Source organism: Homo sapiens, chromosome 11, assembly GCF_000001405.40.
Source record: "Homo sapiens chromosome 11, GRCh38.p14 Primary Assembly".
NCBI classification, from domain to species: Eukaryota; Metazoa; Chordata; class Mammalia; order Primates; family Hominidae; genus Homo; species Homo sapiens.
The window spans coordinates 112,460,870-112,481,349 of record NC_000011.10 but is presented as its reverse complement, the minus strand read 5'-3'; the positions used below and the strand labels follow the sequence as shown (position 1 = coordinate 112,481,349).

At 44.5% G+C, this 20,480-nt stretch overlaps 1 long non-coding RNA gene and 1 pseudogene across 1 annotated transcript, besides 1 other annotated feature; one reads left to right on the top strand and one right to left on the bottom strand.

Annotated features, from left to right (window-relative positions):
• Positions 1 to 6,842: 6,842 nt before the first annotated feature.
• Positions 6,843 to 16,398, bottom strand: LOC107984389 (uncharacterized). Its single transcript, XR_001748387.1, has 3 exons — positions 15,063 to 16,398; positions 8,014 to 8,072; positions 6,843 to 7,116 (listed from the first exon to the last, which is right to left on the bottom strand). It is a non-coding gene; the product is annotated as an uncharacterized LOC107984389 (long non-coding RNA).
• Positions 19,314 to 19,512: a silencer, noted in NCBI's record as "fragment chr11:112332561-112332759 (GRCh37/hg19 assembly coordinates)". NCBI's record gives its function as "represses an EF-1alpha promoter that drives an FKBP-Casp9 reporter gene in an ReSE screen in K562 erythroleukemia cells {active_cell/tissue: K562}" and the evidence as "EXISTENCE:reporter gene assay evidence [ECO:0000049][PMID:32094911]".
• Positions 19,430 to 19,867, top strand: RPL23AP62 (ribosomal protein L23a pseudogene 62; annotated as a pseudogene).

Genomic DNA, 20,480 nt, shown 5'->3' with positions numbered 1-20,480 from the left:
AAGACCCAACTCTTTGGATGGTTCTTCAAAATACCCCCAAATACTGACCTTGTCTCCTTAAGGAGTAGTTGTGAGGTTTAAATAAGGTAATCCATGTAAGAGTTCAGAATGGTGTCAGGCATACAATACAGGCTCAATAAAAGTTACCTATCACTACTAAAATTATTTTATTATTCCTTCCCACAAACCAGCTCCAAACTTGTCTGTGTTCAAGCCCCTAAATAAACTCATGCACTCCCACATCTGGGTTCTTCTTGACACTGCCCATGACCATCTGGAATACTTTCCCGTTTCCACCAGTCTCGTGTCCGCATGACCTGCAAGACCAGGTTCTGTCGTACCTGTGCTTGAAAGCCCCTCACCTACTCCACGCCATGCTCACCCCTCCACCCTAACTAGGTTGAAACTCCCATGGAGGTCAGTGTCTCTTCTGCCTTGTGTTTGTATTTTGCTTTCTAAGCCACAAGCCCTCTGTATGAGACTCTTCTTATGCATCTTCTCAGATCCCCTCAGCCTCATCTGTCTTGGGCCCTTTACCACTGTTCCACCTCTATTGTCACCAGTGACCAGCTCTGCACTGCTGTGACCAGACAGCAGTTCTATGGTAACCAGCTTCACCCAACAGCCACCCAGTCACCAATGCTGGCTCCTAGGGCCACTTTACCACACAATGCATGTGTGATCATGGAATTCACCAGTCTTACTAAGGCCCCCATCATCCAGAAGCAGCATCCTGAAGGAATGGCAGAATGAGCAAAGGCACCTGCCCTGTAACAACACACCAAAGGGTTAGGACACAATCACTGGTGATGTGGTATGTGCACTGAGCAATGAATGATGTTGGCATTGTATATGGTGCTGTGTCCCAAACAGCAGGGATACACAGTCTGGGAACCAAGGAGTGGATGTAGGACTTGTCTCTCTCATCATCCTTCCCACTCACTCAGAATTTGTGCAGTCTATAGCCTGGACCCTGCTGGATAAGAGGTCTGGTTGTCAGGGAAGAAACTCTTCTGCCAGTGAGGTTCCACTGAACTTAAAGCTGACTACCACTTAGTCACTTGGCACACCTCATGCTAATGGACAACACAGGAGTTATCATACTGGTGGGATTAATAACCCTGATTACCAGAAGAAGCTAGAGTTGTGGCTGCACAACAGGAGGAGGAAAGATTCTTTCTAGAACCCAGGGGTTTCAGTGGGGCTTTTCTAGGTGCTTGAAACCCAGCAAAAACTATAAAGGGGCAATTGCAGCAACCATGGTTTAGCAAGGGAATGGCAAGCAAGGGTAAACATAGCCTAGTTCTTTGCTACCCAAACATGCCCACGGACAAGCAGCATCAACACCACCTGAGAGCTTCTAGAAATGCAGAAGCCCAGGTCCCTCCCCAGACCACTGAATCAGATTCTGCATTTTAACACAATTCTCAGGTGATTCAATGCACTTTAAAGTTGAAAAGCATACTCAGCAACCCACTGGAAAAGCAACCTAGCTAGAGGTGAGAGAAATCTAGAATCAGTCATGGAGGTGGTTGAGCAATGAATATTCGTTACGGCCTAAAACCAGCAACAGGAGTGGGAACTGTAGCTTCTTTTCCTTATACTCTTCAGAGAGAGTGGCTGGTCACTGCCTTGATGGAGAATTAATGACCAATTGCTGGTAGAAATGTGAAATGACGCAGTCTGGCATTTCCACCAAATGGTAAACATAGAATCACCCTGTGACCCAGCAATTCTACTCCTCCCGAGAGAAGTGAAAACCTAAATTTCTATATGACTGTTCATAGCAGCCTTATTCATAATAGACAAAAAGTAGAAACAACCCAAATGTCCATGAAAATTATACAGGAGGATCCTTGGAAATTATACAGGATCCTCCCTTTCTCTGAGGAAAGGGAGGAGAACGATAAAAACTTGCCCCAAGTCACACAGCCTGTTCTAAGTGGAAATTATACAGGATCCTTGATTTTTCTATCAGGATAAGGATGGGAATATAAAAATGAATAGAAAGTTGGTGGTGAGAAAGAACGCTTAAGCTGGTGAGACAGCTGATAAAAATTTCTGCTGAAAAGTAAGGACATTTTCCCAATAGTTCCATGTAATCCAGATGGGAAATCACCAAAATCTAGAATGAGCATCCTAATGGAAATGTGGTCTGGAAAGGTGGGCTGGGAGTCCCCTTCACTAAGCAGGAAAGAAGCCGGCTGTGTGAGAGAAGAAAAAATACTACGCACAAAAGCTTTCGTCTTAATCTGACCTCAGAGAACAGCATGTGTGCCTGGCGTGAGTACCTTTCAGGGAGTGTCTGGGTTTCCTGTACCCCAGGGCCTGATCCACTACAAATACATAACAAGTACTTGATAAAAAAATCTAATTGGATTGTGTCTGTGCTGGAGCTAAACAGTCTCTTGCTGTTTAGGGGAAACCCCATGTCCAGTACAACCCCAGCACCTAACAGAGTGCTTTGCACTTAATGAGCATTCAATAAATATTTGTGAAAGGAATAAATGGCTAAATGAATAAGCACTTTTAAGCCTGAAGACAGGTTACTGCCTGTATTTGTGAGACCTAACAGAGTGAGAGAAATGAATTAGCAAGTTTAACTCCTAAGGGAAAAAAGAAAGTAATGACTGCGCTTTGGCCCCCAAAATGTTATCTCCCTCATCCACCATTACCACCAGCATTGAGGTGGGACATCTGCAATTTGGGGCCTGGGTTTTAAAAAAAATCCCCCAGTTGCTGATTTGGGAGATGGCAACATAGAATCTTCTATCTAGAAGAGACCTCAGAGATCCCGGAGCTATTGGAGAAAAAGAAGCCCAGAAGAACTGTCATTTGTGAGGATGTGACAAATGGCTGGGTAATTTCCCAAGGATAAGCTAAACCCGGGCAGGGAGTTCATGCATCAACAGCAGTACCTATAATATCAGAAGTTTAGGAAATTGACACTGTGTCTGTCACACATTATTTGAAGTGAATACTGTTCTGGATAATTCACTCTTCCCCAAACTGTGGATATATGATGATGGTTTTGCTGGGACATATTACAAAGGGAAAAAGAAATCTTCCCAAATGCTCCCATGCAGAAGGTGCAAATTTCACACAGGTGACTCATGATGAAGGGCCTGCAGAGACCTACAGACTCAGCCCATTTCCCAGAACTGCCCCTAGAGAAACATTCCCAGGCCAGAACTTCAGAAACCCAGTCACCTACTGCAAGCACTAGCATGATAAGGGCAAAACTGTTCCCCAAGGAGAACTGTGCCCTTGGGCAGAGCAGTGGAGCGAATTAATTTCTAATAATGAGACTGTGAGCTACAGTGTTTGTCTACAAAACAGGCTTATTCATGAAGAGTAAATATGTCAACTAATTCAAGAGGCATGCTAAATCTCCATTGTTTTCTGTAGTTCAGGTTTCTTGGCTCTGTAAAATGTGATGCACCCCTTCAATGTGTGCAGCAGAATCTGTGAGATTGCAGAATGCCACATTAAACTCAGAGCTCCTGGGCTAATTAGGGTAAATCCATTTTGCAGTAATGAATTGTTGGTAATAGCCCATCATGGAGCAGATGTCTCATCCATCATTGCCCCGGGAGTCCGACACTCTGTAGTACTCCCATCAGATACGGAGGGGGCACAGCCCAGGGAGGCGATCCTCATCTCTGGACTCCCGAGGGCAGCCAATCCTAGGAGGTAGAATCAGTGGGTGCCTATCCAGTGTGATTTAAGGTCCCCCAAATCCTCCCTAACTCAAAATATGTCCCCACCCACTGCCACAGTGCTTAAAATATCCTCCTTTGAATTTTCTGCTATTAAAATGTAAATATGTCACCTGGAAGAAGTAACACATTAAATTAGCATCCATTATCACTCATTTTCACATTAGGGAGAGCTGGGCCCTGAGGAAAGGGAGGAGGACAGGTAGTCCTTGATGGAGGGTGGCTTAGAAAGGAGCTGAGCAGGACTCAGGCTGGTGGAGTGGGGCCAAGCTGGGGCACAGTGTGCGTGCCAGCGAACTCTTGCTCACCCCATCCTACTGACAATGTGGGTTTTTTAAGTGTATGCTTCCTCAAATTACCTGGGCAACCTAGTGGGGAGAGATGGTAACTTATTTATCTTTGCCAGTCCCCAGGACCTCTCCAGTAAATGCTTCTTGAATAAGTAAATTTCATCCTCACAACCCCCCAAAGGAAATCAGAGAAGGGATCATGACCATTTTATAGGTGCAGAATCACACTCATGGAGGCCCATTTTCTTGCCCAAGCACATGGGACTGAGGAGGAGCAAGCTCTAGATAAACAAAAGGGCAGACAAAGTATATGTTTTTATCTACAGGAAATTGTATTTATGTGGGAACTAATGAGAAGTGAGAATAGAATAGATTAGGGCCACTTTTTGGATGCCTTTCAATGTCAGCCTGAGAGTTTGGGGTGTTATTCTGGGAACTTCTGAAAGTTTGTTTAGTGATTGAGAACACAGGAAGCAGAAGGATACAGAGAAATGTGCAAAGTGATATTTTCGGAAGGGTATTGGCATAGAGGAAAATAGGATGGGTTGGAGAATCAAGAAATTAAAGACTAGTAAAGAGATTCTTTGTGTGAATCAGAATCGGGAAGGTAGCAGTGGAAATAGGAGGGACGTATGCAGACGTATGTAAGAGACGTATGGATAACAAATAGATCAGTTGCAGTGACTGGTTGGAGGAGTGGGTGAGGAAGAAAGTGGATTGAGGGACATTGACTAGATTTCAAACCCACTTAACTGACAGAAAATCGACAGCAGTGGGAAATCTAGAGGAGAAGCGGGTTTTGATTGAGGATGGTAAGTTTCTTGCAAACATGTTGAGTAAGGTGATAATGGAACACCCAAATGAAGATGTGCATGGGGCTGATAGAAACTTGATGTCAAACCTCAAAGAGATTTAGTAGAAGCAACAAGGATAGGTGAAATCTCAGAGAAAGCGTAGAAAATGAGTCAGAGTCAGGACCTCTGACATGTCCACTTATAAAGGATGAGTACAAAATGAAGGAGACAGAGTCGGACAGTGTAGTGAGAATTGAAGCCAGTTATGAGTGTTTCAAAGGGTAAAGGTGCCAGTGCCAGAAGCTGCAGAAAGGTCAAGGAAAGCCAGGAGAAACTGCTATTGGGCTTCAAGAATAGACTCTCTGGTTATCTTCAATAGCACAGTCTCAGATGTGTGGAAAGTGCAGAAAAACTTAAATGCAATGGGGAGGAAAGGAAAAGATGGGAGGGGAAGAGAGATGGCTGTGCAGCGACAGTCGAGCCAAGCATGGCTGGCCTTGTTTTCTTGTCCCTTTCCATACAGGGAATGCTGAACCTCGATTTATGTGCAGAGAATGACTGAAATGCAAAAGAGAGCAGGAGATACTGGGGAGGCATCGATTAGAAGCAGCAGGAAGGGAGGGGCTGAGATGTGCAGGGGAGGGTAGACAGAAGAAGGTGGGGGTCTAGGTTGAAGAAAGGGAAAGAAGCAAGCAATGAGCTGAGTCCAAACAGAGATCATTTTCCTGGAAAAATCAGAAAAATATGTTCCCAGGGTTCAGCCTATAAAAAATAGTAGGCTCCCAGGGAACATGAGAGGGTTCCAGACAACAAAGGGCTGGATTCAGATGTTGCCAGGATTAATCTAAAGCAGGAGAGGAACAAAACTCATTTCCAAAGGAAGGATCTCATCTGTGTGTCGCTGACAGCCCCGATGAAGTCTATACCTAGAATTACAAGGCCATTGAACATCAGTGCTAGGAAGGCCCTGGGAAGGCCCTGAGACATCATCTGAGCCAATTCTCTCTCACTTCACCAACTGAGAAAATAAGGCCCAGAGGGGTGAAGTAAATTAATCAAGAAAACACAACTGGTTAAAAGTCAAACCTGGACCAGAACCTAAGACTCTTAGCTCCTGGTCAAGTGCAATTCTCACCAAATAGCAACTCTATGAGCTGGATTTCCCAATATACGATTGGGACAATTTCAATCTTATGTAATTTCTTCTTTCCAATAATGATCATGTTACTTAGATGTGTGCGTAACAAAACGTGATTTCATTTTTGTACCTTTGTGTGGCTTTTCATGTTAAAAATTTGGAAAAAAAAAGCAATAAATCAGGAATTGAAAATATTTGTCAGATCATGCCTCTCAATTTTTGGTTCTGCAAATATAGTCACTGCAATTGCATAGCAAAGTTATTAAAAGCATAGCTGTGGAGTTGAACAGACCCAGCTGCAAAGCCAGGTGAGCCCCACCACTTACTATTTGTGTGACATTGAATGAGACCTTGACCTCTGCTGGGAGAGGGTGGCAGAAGGGAGGGAGGCAAAGCAATCGACCACTCTGTCATTGTGGCCCTAAGCATGGAGAAAAGCAGCAGTGAGACCCAGAGAGGGAAGCCGTCAAAGCTGCCACTAATACCTGTTTCCCTTTGGAATAATCCCAGTGCTTTGGCCGGAGATGATTTGAAGGCTTTTTGAGAGGCACACCTGAAGAGAAAATGTAATTACTTTTTCCTGCAATTGAATTTCCAGGCAGTGTCCTTTCAAAATAAAAAAGGCACTTGAGGGGTGGAAGGGAGGATTAGGGGAAGAAATGAAGGATGGAGAAGGGCCATCCCCGCTGAAGCCGGTGACATTTCACCAAAGCTACTCCCTTTGGAAGCAGCTGGTGCAAATGTCACTCAGCGGAGACAATAGGAAGCAAGAGAGAGCAGTGGGATCTGCAGAAAATAACGTGATCCTCTCCTACTCCCACCAGCCACCCCTCCCCAACCCCCCAAACCCTGACCCTCTGGAAAGCAGTTAGGCCAGGCACTTAACTGACGTTGTTGGCCTTAGGGTGGCTGTAGATATCTTGTAGCTATGTCACGGCAGTCATCATGAAGCACATATCCAACCCCAGTAGAACTGCCCCCGTGTCAGCCCTGGGGATCTCTATCCATAGGAGGCAATGCCCTGACCTCCATCTCTCCCATGTAGACCAGTGGACCAGAAGAGAGTGTGCTGTGCAGCCATTTCCACCAGAGCATCCCAGGAGAAATGCAGCTGCTGATGATTAAAGAGTTGATTTCTACAACAGACAACCCTAGGGTTCTTTAAGTTGATCATTCTGGAGCACAAAAGAAGGAAGGAGAAGAACAAAGAGAGTTAAGCCAACCCAGGGTTGAATCCAGTTCTGCCACTTATTATATGACCTTAGCAAGTTACTTAACCTCTGCACTGCCTCACTTTCTTCATCTGAAAAAGAGGCATACTATTGCTCACAGGGGGTTAGGAAAATGAGATGTAATTGATCACAAGTTCCTGGCTGTGAGGAGGTACTCAACAGGCAACATTACATATACATATTTTTAAGGACATATCAAGTTCATGCACACTGACAAAAGAGCACAGGTCCCTGGCCAAGCTCTCAAAGTCACCTTGCAGGAGGATGGACATTCATAAAACTCCAAAAGGCAGGAGGAGACCTCTTTGAGGCTAATGATGTTCCCAGATAGTGGCTGTGTTGTCTTCAGAGACTGATGAAAGCTTCAGGACTAATGGACAGTTCTGCGGCCTGAGATCCTTGACCCACTGGCAAAACTACTTCTTAAATATCTCTTCTTGTTTTTCATTTACTTGCAATATATTACATATGCCTCCACATACGTTCAAAAAACTATTCAACGCAACTCTGTATGGATATGAAATCCACCTGCTAACTCAGTGTTTGGTACGTACACGGCCAGTGCTTACTATTGAGTGACGTTCAATGCCCTTATTAGGTCTTGTCTGAATGTGCTGTCCACATGCCGTTCTGCAAGGAGTCCTAGCCCTTTGAGAAAACAGTGGTGTCCAGAGTAAACTGAGGCTTTATTACCAACCTGTAGGGCTGGTTCTTATGAGGACTCTAGTGGACAAACTCAAATAAGTAACTTTGGAAAAGATTAAGCTTAGAGTAAGTTTTTACCAAAAATTAAAAAAGACAGTCGTGAGAAAGAGAAAGTCAAGTAGAGAGAAAACTTACTGTACCAGTCGGAAGTGAGGGTTTCTTCATTCTGGCAAAGGCAGGTGACCCGTGTAGTTCTGTTTCAGGAGTAGAGAAGAAAAACTGCTCAACAAACTAAGGCTGCCTCTTTGGTTTTCAGAAAGCAGTCATATATTGAATTTTTTTTTTACCAGACAGAGTCTCGCTCTGTTGCCCAGGCTGGAGTGCAATGGTGCGATCTCGGCTCACTGCAACCTCCACCTCCCAGGTTCAAGCCATTATCCTGCCTCAGCTTCCCCAGTAGCTGGGATTACAGGCACCTGCCACCACGCCCAGCTAATTTTTTGTATTTTTAGTAGAGACGGGGTTTCACAATGTTGGCCAGGCTGGTCTCGAACTCCTGACCTCGTGATCCGCCCGCCTTGGCCTCCCAAAGTGCTGGGGTTACATGAGCCATCACGTCCGGCCCATATATTGAATTTCTACCTGTCAGAGGCTCCACGCTGTGTGTGGAATGGTAGAAAATACATGGGCTCTGTCTCAGAGCAGAACAGAATTCAAATCCTAGCCCTAATACTTACTGTGTACACTTAGATAAGTACACAGTAAGTGTACTTATTATTATGTAAGTACACAGTAAGTAACTTCCTGGACCGAAAGTTTCTCACCTGTAAATGAAAAAGATGACTGAATCCCCAAAGCTATGCCCATAATCCAAAAAGATTTAAACTTAATATTGAAAATTTAGGGGGAAAGATCCATTTTATTCAAGGAATAATGGTTGGGTTTTATTTGATATTTTTTGTTCCGTTTTTTTCTTTCTGTGTTTTTCATTTGTTTTTAATAGAGAGCTCGATATTTTAAAGAAAGATTTTTTCCTTACGACTAAACATGTCTTTGGGAAGCTAAACACTTGAGACCTTAACACAATAAACAAGGTCTCCTAATTGAAATCAAAATACCCAAGAGGGAATAGACTGGCACTTGAGTGCTGACTGGCAAGCCTGACTCTGCAAAGTTCAATCTGAGAAGCAGCTTTCTAGCAACTGAAGTTCCTCGACAATGGAACGCATTCTTTCCCCACAAACTGGATTTTCTGTGTCTCCTCCAGGATCTTTTGGAACACCATAGGCGAGGATTCCCGGAACCCCAGGAAGGTTGACTGCAGGGTCCTCGTCTACACATTCAGTTACTGCCGGTGCTTGGAGAGGTGCAACCCAGTGAGAAGTTTCAGAGTCACCCGCCACACACAGAGAGCCGGGAAAAGGGAATCCAGCCTAACTATGTTTTCTTGCAAATTAGGTGCTGTGACAACTCAGGCACTGAAACACACAGACACAGTATCTGTGTTTAATTAACAAGCTGGAGAAAACAAATGTGAATAATTGATTGATGCAGGAGAACAAGGCATCAGGAAAATAACCCGGCAGAGGGCTGCCAGCCAGTTCTCCCTCTGAGGCAGTGATTAGCGTTCCACAGCTCCCAAAAGAAACTTTAGCGGAAATCGTTGTAGCTCAAGGTAGATGCATACCCTGGACCTGTGGAGCAGGAAGCAGTTGAGGATGTATTTCTCAGTTGCTCTAATTCTCCTCATGGGATAGCCCTGAGCCTCTCTGGGTTTTGCAGGCAGCTCACATCACAACAGGCATGCTGCTCTGACCCATTTACCAAGGAACTGTAAGGCAGTGAGCTGGGAATGGGACCCAGAAAATAAGTGGCAAGGAGCAAGCAGCCCTGCCATTGGGGACTTTGACTCAGTAAAGCCAGCCAACCTTGCCCTAAGTGTCTGTGGTCAAGGAGGCAGTATGGGACCTCTGGAAGCCCCAGGAGGAGAATCACAGTGCAGCCCTCCAGCAGCCCTCTTTGTTAACATTTATTCTTCTTCTGAGAAGCTGTTCCTGGCTTGCTACAGGGCCATGGCAGAGACTAAATGCCTAACCATGAGATACCAAGTGCCCACGGGACCTGAGTTGCCCATCATGAACTGGGTGCTATCCAATCCTCTGAAGCAATAAAGTCAAATGTGTATGACAGCATTCGACACTTAAAGGAAGAAGCACATTTAAAAAGCTGGAATCGGCAGGGCGTGGTAGCTCACACCTGTAATCCTAGAGCTTTGGGAGGCCGAGGCGGGCAGATCGCCTGAGGTCAGGAGTTTGAGACCAGCCTGGCCAATGTGGTGAAATCCCGTCTCCACTAAAATTGCAAAAACTAGCTTGGCATGGTGGCAGACACCTGTAATCCCAGCTACTCGGGAGGCTGAGGAAGGAGAATTGCTTGAACCCAGGAGACGGAGCTTGCAGTGAGCCAAGATTGTGCCACTGCACTCCAGCCTGTGCAACAGACCAAAACTCCGTCTCAAAAAAAAAAAAAAAAACAAAAAAGCTAGAATCACAGTGGTCCTGCCCAGCAGGAGCTGGAGCCACAGATGAGAAGAGGCTGTTGCCAGAGACACAAACAAAGGTCACTGTAACCCTTTAGGTCCAGGGTCCCAGCCTTACCTGGCTGGTAAGTCATATGAGGACCAACAGTTCTCACATAAAACAGTAGAGCAGTGGTTCTCAACTTGGGTGAGTCTGCCCCCAACGTGTAAAGACGTTTTTGAGTCTCATGACTAGGGAAGTGCTACAGGTACCCAGTAGATAGAGGCCAGGGATGATGTGAAAAATCCTACAGTACACGGGCAAGCATCTTCCCTATCATAACAAAGAATTACCTGGCCGAAAATGTCAATAGTGGCAGGGTAGAGAAACCTTGTTGTAGAGAAAGGGAAAGAGAAAGAGAAAAAGGGAATCAGTGATTAATATAGGTCATAGGTGACATTCTTTTACTACTCACCCCACGCTTCCTCTGTGTGCATGTTAATATTCCAGGGCATAGGGATCATACTTTGCCCAGAACCTCAAGGGAGTTTTGTTGTACAGAAAGGGTTTAAGAATCTCTTTTCTAAGTACTTACTTATATCTCCCTACTTCTGCCCCAATCCCGAATCCCAGGTGACAACAGGTATAAAACACTCCAGGAATGCTTCTCCTACCACCCATCAATGTATTCTAGAGATCCCAGAGGGGCAGATTTTTTACCAAGGTCAGTTTCATCTGCGCAGAAAGTAAGAATGTCTCACATTTTCCTTACACACCTACTCTATATCTGTCAAGTCAGTATTATAAATTTTTTTCATTTGTCTATTCAACAAATATTTATTGAGCACTACTGCTTGTTATAATGGTAAAAAAAAATTTTTGAAAAAGACCAACAAGCCTGTTTTGACAAAGCTTATGACCTCTGGTTCTATGATTGTTGTCATTATTTTTATTATAGGCTATTGAAGCCAAGAAGAATTCACATTTCACCCAGGTCTTTCCCCAAGAATCTGTAGTTGCCTCAGATTATCTCCCACCCTGGGCCTGATCTGCTCAGAACCTATTAGTTGGAAGAAAGCATCGTGCAACATCCTATTGTTTGTCACTGTATAGAGGAGCTTTTTCCACAACGTATCCAGTGCTCTGTCCCGGGGTTATGAGTTGCCTTTCTGTTCTCTGCTTAGCCTGGGACTCTAAAAGGACGTAGAGGGAAAAAGCCAAATGCACTCACTTAAAATGAAAACAAAAGTGCCAATGTCCTTCAAGAGGTCAGAATACCCTTGCTGTAACTTTTAAAGGCCCCTTCCCCTTATATTCTTCCATGACCACCACAGGATGGAACGGCTTTTTCCTACAGGGTCCTAAGATTGTTCCACAGTGGGAGCTTCGAGCTTGAGCCAATGCTGAGCCTGCTTCTGGCTTCAGTTTATCTGGGAATGCCTGGTAACTCTGAGTGGCAACCTGCAAGAGCACTTCTCCATGAGGGTATTAGAAGTCGCCTGGGAAAGAATAGCAGGGGAATTGATAAGAGCTGTTGCAGAAGTCCAGTTTAAGGGAGAGACATCTACAGTATCTGACACTGCTCCTTAGCTCAACTTCCATTCCCTTTCCTTCTCATTCCTATGGTGGCGCCTCTGTAATCATTGTTACCTATTGGGCTTCCTACCATCTATTTTTTTTACCTTGTGGTCAATGTCATGAAATGGCATCCCGCTATCCACTTTATCTCAGAACACTTTATACTGCCATTTTGTGATTATAGTCAGAATTTTGGAATTTTTCACTTTCTTGCATTTATTATTCATTCAAACAGTATTTGTTGAGCATCTACTAACATGCTAGGCATTCTTTTAGGCACTTGGAGTTTACATTCATAGATATAGGAGTAACAGAAAATAAACAGATAAACATAGGTACAGAAATGTCAATGAAGGGCAAGGGATAGAGAGTGATGGGGTGGGGATCAGGGTTACAGAGAGGCTAGGGGAGGCTCTCTGAGAAAGGAAGGCACAGAAACTTGAATGGAGTGAGGAATGAGGTATGCAAAATCTGAGGAGGAAACATTTCACATGGAAAGAGCAAAGACGCTGAGGTGGGAATGTGCAAATGTGCAAAGACCCTGAGGTGGGAACCATGTGTGCATGGTTTAGGGCCAGGGTGGCCGGAGCAAAGTGAGTCCAGGGACACATTATGAAATGAGGCCAGAGACATAGGCAGAATACAAATCACATCACATCACATGAGCCACAGTAGGATCTGGATCTTATTTTGGGTTTTTCCCCAGCCACTGTGCACCACTCAAGGGCAGGGGTGAAGGAGCAGACTTGGGCTTAACCAGCATTGACTTTTTGCCACATGTGTAAAGGTAGGGTGAGGTTAATGGAATTAAGGATGTGCCTAGGCCTCAGGGTTGAGCACAGGCCCTCACTTCTTCTGCCCTTATGGTGAGTCCCCTCAGGACCTCCTTTCTCTCATGTCCGGGAACCTCAATTCAAGGCCATTGCAACCTGTCAGAGAAGTTCTAATACCATTGAACTTCAAAAGAGAAGGGGTTGGTCTAGGTCTCTTTTCCCAAGAAGCTCCTCAGCCCTTTGTGCACTCACCTCTTCCCCAGGAACCAGCTCTGCCCACCACAGAGAATAGGTAAAGGTCACAAGGACTGAGTTATCCCCAAGCCCCCAGGCAAAAGGGGGCCCCTCATGAGGAATTGCCCCTGAATAAACAAGAGCAGCTCCACGTATTCTGTCTCAGTCCCGCCCGCACTGGCCGAGACTTTGAAATGGTCTAGAGGCCCTGCATTAGCAGGTAGAAGTATGAGCTAGTAAAAAAAAGATGCCCCATTTGTTCCCCTATCTGATAGAAGCCATGGATACTTGGGTTGCACTCTTCATTTTAATAGTATTCAACAAAACAAACCAGCCGCTCTGCAATTTCATCAGATGACTTAGTCCTTGGCTTAAGGATATCGCCGTGCATGTGCAGAGAACAGTCAGAAGAACTGGTGCAAAGGAAGCTAAGGCTTGGCTTTGGCAGAGGAGATGAAACAGATGTGGCAATCATGACACTACCAAGTAAAGCATTGGTGGCATGTGTATGATTGATAGGCTGGTCCCTAGAAAAAGCAACTGCATACAAGGTTGGCTCCAGTGCCCTGGCTCATAGCTCTGCATCCCCAGCCAGACAGCTGGTGTGTGGGCTCAGGCCTCCCTTCCCTGTGAGGGCTTTACCTGCCCTGCCTTCCCTGCTGTGTCCCTCAGCTCCCCTCCTCAGCCCCAATCAAAACCAATTTCCACTTCTTCTGAGCACTCATTGGAGACTAATGCTAACCTGATAAATTAATTCAAGCTAATGCAAATTATGGTTTAATATGTTACCCTTCCCAGACAACATTTACATTTTTAAAAGGAGCTTCAGTTCCTTAAATCTAAATGAATGGATATCGTGGGAATGTCAAGCCTTGTGGCAGGCAGTTATGGAGACTACGGGAAACAGTAGTAGCACCTCTCTGGGCCCCTCTGAGGTCAGATGAGAAAGGTTCCATCTGCTCATTGTGATTATCAGGTATCTATGGGCCAAGAGACACCAATGTCAAACTTTTCTCTGAAACCAGAAGATTTCTATTTTGAGAAAACATGCTTTTAATGTACTTGGCTATTGCCTATATGACTCTAATATATGCAGATGAGATACTTCTGTGCAATCAAAGTAAATCTATGATAGTGGTTTGCTTAATTTCCCCTTCTGCACCAGGAAATATGAGTTCCTGGAGGACAGAAAAAGACAGAAGAGGAGGCATCCACCCATCATCAGCCCAGGAGTCCTCTGACTGGGACTATTCTTTAGCCAGTGGAAACAGCAGCCTGCTGCCGAGGCTGCTCCAGGGCCTTCTGTGTAGGTCTGGGTGGCAGGCAGGAAGGTATCAGGTGAGGTCTGCTCCAGCTGCCTCTACTTCTGGGAGAAGCAGAAGGGAGACCCAGGCTCCCTGAGGACCTGGCTATAGAAAGCAATTCTGTACCACATAACCCCCACCTCGCCAGTGTTTTCTGGGGTTATGTGAGCCTGTGCATCAGTGATATGGTTTGGCTATGTCCCCACCCAAATCTCATCTTGAATTGAAGCTCCCATAATTCCCATGTGTTGTGGGAGGAACTCGGTGGGAGATAGTTGAATCGTGGGGGTTGTTTCCCCCATACTGTTCTCATGGCAGTGAATAACTCTCACGAGAGCTGATCGTTTTATAAGGGGAAACCCCTTTTGCTTGGCTCTCATTCTCTCTTTGCCGCTGTGATGTAAGATGTGTGTTTCACCTTCCGCCATGATGTGAGGCCTCCCCAGCCCCATGGAACTGTGAGTCCATTAAACTGCTTTTTCTTTGTAAGTTACCCAGACTCAGATATGTCTTTATCAACAGCGTGAAAATGGACTAATACAATCAGGGAATTAACCTTGGTGATGTCAACGTTTGTCGTAAGGATCCCAAAGCCTGAGGCAAAGACGGTAGACACAAACAATAGCTCCCCTGCACCCCCACTTCTCTCAGCTTTCCTTGGTGTGTGAATGAGACAAAACCTACCCTTCCGTTTTTCCAGGCACTAACTGCCTGCCCACACATCCCAAAATGGAGAGAGGCTAACCCCACTGCTCCAGAGAAAGCAGATGTCAGGGCAAAGAGGATTACTGCCCAAGACAGCCTACAGACCCTGACAGAGACCCAAATACACTTACCCTTTGAGAAGCAGGCCAGGGGTTGGTCACAATGACAGTGTCCTCCAAGGCTCACAGTGACTTCTGTGGCCTCCATACACTCTCACCCATTCATTCATCTGTTCATGCAGTTATCCACTACTCCTTAGCTAGAAGAAACTGCAGGCAGCCCTGCTCCAGGACACAACCGAGGACTTCCAAGAGGAGTGGGACACATCCATCCCCCAACTGGACATATTCCGTGTGACCCTTGAGTCAAGGCATTGGTAGTACTGTGAGGAATGTGTTTGTCTTTGGGGTAAACACAAAGCCCAGCATCTCCCTACAAGGAGAAAGCAAAGAGCTGCCACCTGGTTCCCAGTGAGCAGTGGGAAGCCAGAAGCATCCCTCGCTGTCCCCCACTCCAGGTCAGTTGCCTTGCTCCATCTACAAACACAAGGATCTCCTGAGTTAATCATCCACTAAATGTCTCCATGCTTCTGGAACTTCAATTACAGCCCCCTCTGCCCTCAGGCAGACGCTGCCACCGTGCAAATGCAGTTTAAATCATCATGCACATTTTTTTCCCCTGTGCTTCCTCATACTGGTACTGTCTTCCCACCCCTACATTTTTTCAAGGGCTTGTCTTGCTGTCATTCCACTCCAAGTCAGCTTGGCACACTGAGGTCCCCTCTAGCGCACAGCCCTTCTGAAGTCTCCCTGTGAAGCCTGCTCTTCATGCATACTCTTGTCTCAAGGATTCTCTCAGGTTTCCGATTTCCACCTCCCTGTTCTCAGCTGCTGATATTTGCTTCAAATCCCTTTCTTGCATTCTGCTGCTCCCAAGGATTCAATGCACTGAACTGTTCCTTGATGCTCCCGCCCACTCATTCCCCAAAATGTGGACAAACAACCATTCTGTATCTTGTGCAAAACACAGACGTTGGCTCCTCTTGGGTCTCACTTCTGAGCTGAAGGTCTGATTTCCAGGGGCCGCAGGTCAGGCCACAGCCCAGGCCACAGCTTCACATAAGAAGGGGGTACACACTTGCCTGTCATTCCCTTCTTTTTTGCCTGAAAATGCAAGTGAGAGCATGAGTACTTATTGTGTTTGCTTTATTTCCTCACTTCCAAGCAAATCAGCCTCCTAACTGCTGGTCACAGTATACTCTAAGAGCTTCTAAACTGTTGCAAAATGTTCAAGTACACTGGAAACAGGTGCCTAGGTATATCCTTTGACTTTCTTAGAGCTCAGGAGTCCTGTGGGAGAGACAAAGGCATTAAGGGTCAGATAGTTCTGCTTTGGAAACTCCAGCTGGCAGAGTTGGGCAAAAACAGAGGAAGGTGACTGCACACTGGCCAGAGAGACAAGGAGCCATGGAAGTTGACAATCCAGAGGAGGTCAGTGATGCTGCACCCATGGGCAGCATGGGCAAAAGCAGCTTGAGGCCGTCTGCAGCACCGGGAGGCACACCCACAGTGAATGGGACAAAGGGGCAATTGGAACCATGTGAACTGGCTCTGGTTAAACATGAAACCAACATCTGGGAGCCATAGAGTTTCTGCCTTTGGACTCAGAAACTGGTGGGGGCTGGGGGATACTGAGGCTGGACATGAAAGGGTCCCTGGAGATTCCCAGGAATACAGTAGCTGTCACAGGAGGACTCTTGAGAAAATCCGAGATTCCTACCACTAAGTATGTTGGGGCATTGTACATTGAAAATTTGGGATACTCTTGTGAATACAAGATATCAAAACTCCCCAGTGAGTAATGGGTAAAGCCTAGGACATACTGATTACTTAAGAATGAATTTTTTGGCCGGGCGTGGTGGCTCACGCCTGTAATCCCAGCACTTTGGGAGGCTGAGGCAGGTGGATTACCTGAGGTCAGGAGTTCGAGACCAGCCTGGCCAACATGGTGAAACCCCATCTCTACTAAAAATACAAAAATTAGCCATGTGGTGACACACGTCTGTAATCCCAGCTATTCAGGAGACTGAGGCAGGAGAATTGCTTGAGCCCAGGAGACAGAGTTTGCAGTGAGCCGAGATCGTACCACTGCACTCCAGCCTGGTCAGGACAGCGAGGCTCTGTCTCAAAAAAAAAAAAAAAAAGAATGAATTTTAAAAATCAGATTTTATAGTAATTTTATAGTAAAAAAACAAAAAGGCTGCCAACAAAGCAATAGAAACAACCAAGCTGACTTCAGACTTCATTCTAACACGAACCGGCAGGAGAAATGAGGGTTTTAAAAGAAAGGGAAATCAATATATCAAAGAGACTTCTGCACCTCCAAGTTTACTGCAGCACTACTCACAATAGCCAAGATATGGACTCAACCCAGATGTCCAACAACAGATGAATGGATAAAGAAAATGTGGTATATATACATAATGGAATACTACTGAGCCACAAAAAGAATGAAATCCTGCCATTCACAGCAATATGGACGAGACTGGAGGAGGTTATAAGTGAAATCAGCCAAGAACGGAAAGTTAAACACCACATGTTCTCACTCTTATGTGGGAGCTAAAAAAGTTGATCTCGTAGAAGTAAAAAGTATAATATAACAGAGAACACTGGAGTCTGGGAAGGTAGAAGGAAGGAAGATATAGGGAGAGATTTGTTAAAGGATACAAAATTACAGGGAGATAGGAGGAATAAGTTCTAGTATTCTGCACTACTGTAGGATGACTACAATTAGTAATATATTAGTAGTTTCAAATAGCTAGAAGTAGGATATTAAACTTTCTCAACACAAAGAAATGACAAATGTTTGTTGGAGATGATGGATATGCTAATTACCCTAACCTGATCACTACACATTATATGTATCAAAGCATTGCTATGTACCTCATGAGTATGTACAATTATTATTTGTCAATTTAAAAAGAGAAAACTTAAAAATAATAAAGAAAATACGGGTGTTTTTTTAATGAATATTGTATTTTATTTTTAGAGGAAGGTTCTCACTCTGTTGACCAGGCTAGGGTGCAGTGGCGCAACCATAGCTCACTCAAACTCCTGGACTCAAGTAATCCTCCCACCTCCCTAGCATAACCGGGGCTATAGGTACATGCCACCATTGCTGGCCAAAAATAGGGCTTTAAAAAGGAAAGATTCTATATAATTCTATACCCAGCCAAATCTTCTTTGATATGTAAAAGAAACAAGGATGATATGGAATATAAAGGAATTCAGAAAATATACTCCCTAATTTCCCTTTCCTAAAAAAAAAAAAAAAAAAAAAAAAAGGTGTTTTAAAGTACTTAAGGATAGATAATTGAGTTAAAAATGGGAAGAGTTATTTGCTAACTACTGAGGTCTACTAAGTATAAATCTAAATAATTGCTATAAATATGATTGAAAATTAAGTGCAAATGCCAGAAAAAAATGCGAAAAAGAAGCCACATAATATTACAATATTATAAAATTAATATTCTGGACTAATACAACTGCGGTTTATATTAAACTAGATGGAAAAGTGTAGAGAGAAGGGGAGAAGTAAATGGTGATGATGGAAGAAAGTAAAGTGCACGTCAAGTTTCTTATATGCTCAGTGTCAAAAGTATTATCTTACTTGCTGTTTTTGTCCTCAAAGTATATATAGAGTTAGCCCTCCATATCTGCAGGCTCTACCACCACAGACTCAACTAACTACAGGGAAAAAATTTTTAAATATGGATGGCTGTGTCTGTACTGAACATGTACAGACATTTTTTCTTGTCATTATTCCCTAAACAACTATTTATATAGCATTTATACTGTATTAGGTATTACAAGTAATCTAGAGATTATTTAAAAGTGTAGAGGTTAATATGCAAATACTATGCCATTTTATATAAGGGGTTTGAGCTTCTGAGGATTTTGGTATCTGTGAGGGATCCTGGAACCAACCATGGAAGACTGTATTGACTTCTATTTGTGAGATTATGGTAGGCTAGTAATTCAGACCAACGCACTTGCTGCAAACAACTAAAAATTCCAGAAAGATGTCTATTAAATCTTTTTAAAAGCAGGGAAGGAAGATAGCACTAAAAGCGAAGAAGGAAGCTCCTGTTTTCACGTTGCTGTTAAAGACATACCCGAGACTGAGTAATTTACAAAGAAAAAGAGGTTTAATGGACTCAGTTCCACATTGCTCGGGAAGCCTCACAATCATGGCGGAAGGCAAAAGTCAACTCTTACACGAGGCAGACAAGAGAGAAAGAGGGAACCAAGCAAAAGGGATTTCCCCTTATAAAACCACCAGATCTCGTGAGATTTCCTCACTACCATGAGAACACTATGGGGGAAACTGCCCCCATGATTCAAGTATCTCCCACTGGGTCCCTCCCACAACACGTGAGAATTATGGGAGCTACTGTTTGAGATGAGATTTGGGTGGGGACACAGCCAAACTACATCACCCTCCCAAAGCTGAAGCCAAAGCAAAGGCTTTGAAGACCAAGAAGGCAGTGCTGAAAGCCATCAACAGCTATAAAAAATAAAAATAAAAAATAAAAATAAATCTGCCCATCACCCACCTTCCGGGCTCGAGACACCACGGCTCCAAAGGCAGCCCAAATATGCTCAGAAGAGCGCCCCCAGGGGAAACAACCTTGACCACTGTGCCATCAGCACATTCCCCCTGACCACTGAGTCGGCCACAAAGAAGGTAGAGGACAACAACACGCTTGTGTTTGCTGTCGTTGTTAAACCCAACAAGCAGCAGATCAAACAGGCTTGAAGAAACTCTACGACGTTGGTGTAGTCCAGGTCAACACCCTGATTAGGCCTGATGGAGAAAAGAGGGCATATGTTCCACTGGCGCTCCTAACTGTGATGCTTTGGATGTTGCCAACAAAAATTGAGACCATCTAAACCAAGTCCAGCTGGCTAAGTTCTAAATATGTATCTTTTCACCATATTTTAAAAAGTAAAAAAAAAAAACATAAAATCAGAGAAGACCTGACAGCATACCAGGGCCAAAGTGTAGGTGGGATTGTAAACTCAGCCAGGGAAACAGAGCAGTAAAGTAGTCTTTGTCCTGAGGGTGTATCTGTCTATCTCTGCAAACTTGAGCTTCCCTTTTGACATTGAATTCTAGTGCCTGAACTGGGCAGAAGGGGCAGATATAACTTCAACATTTATCTGAATATGCTCCCCACTTGAATCTGGGGCCACAAAAGACTGCATCTTCAAGATAAGAGTGAACTAGAAGGAAGCCTTCATCCTCACCCCCATCTCTCACCACCACCCCAGGATACTAATAGGAAAGCTGCTTTCGCACTAACCAGAAAAATAGGAAAAGGGTGAAAACAAAACCTTACCTGAGAAGTTGCAAACATAAGCAGCCCTGGAGCAGATCATAGCTGAAATTTACATCTCTTGGTTGGGGGTGGGGAATAAAATCCTTTGGCATGAATTTAATGTAATGTGGTTCTAGATTTGTAGTTCCCCTAGGGATGCAGAAAAGTA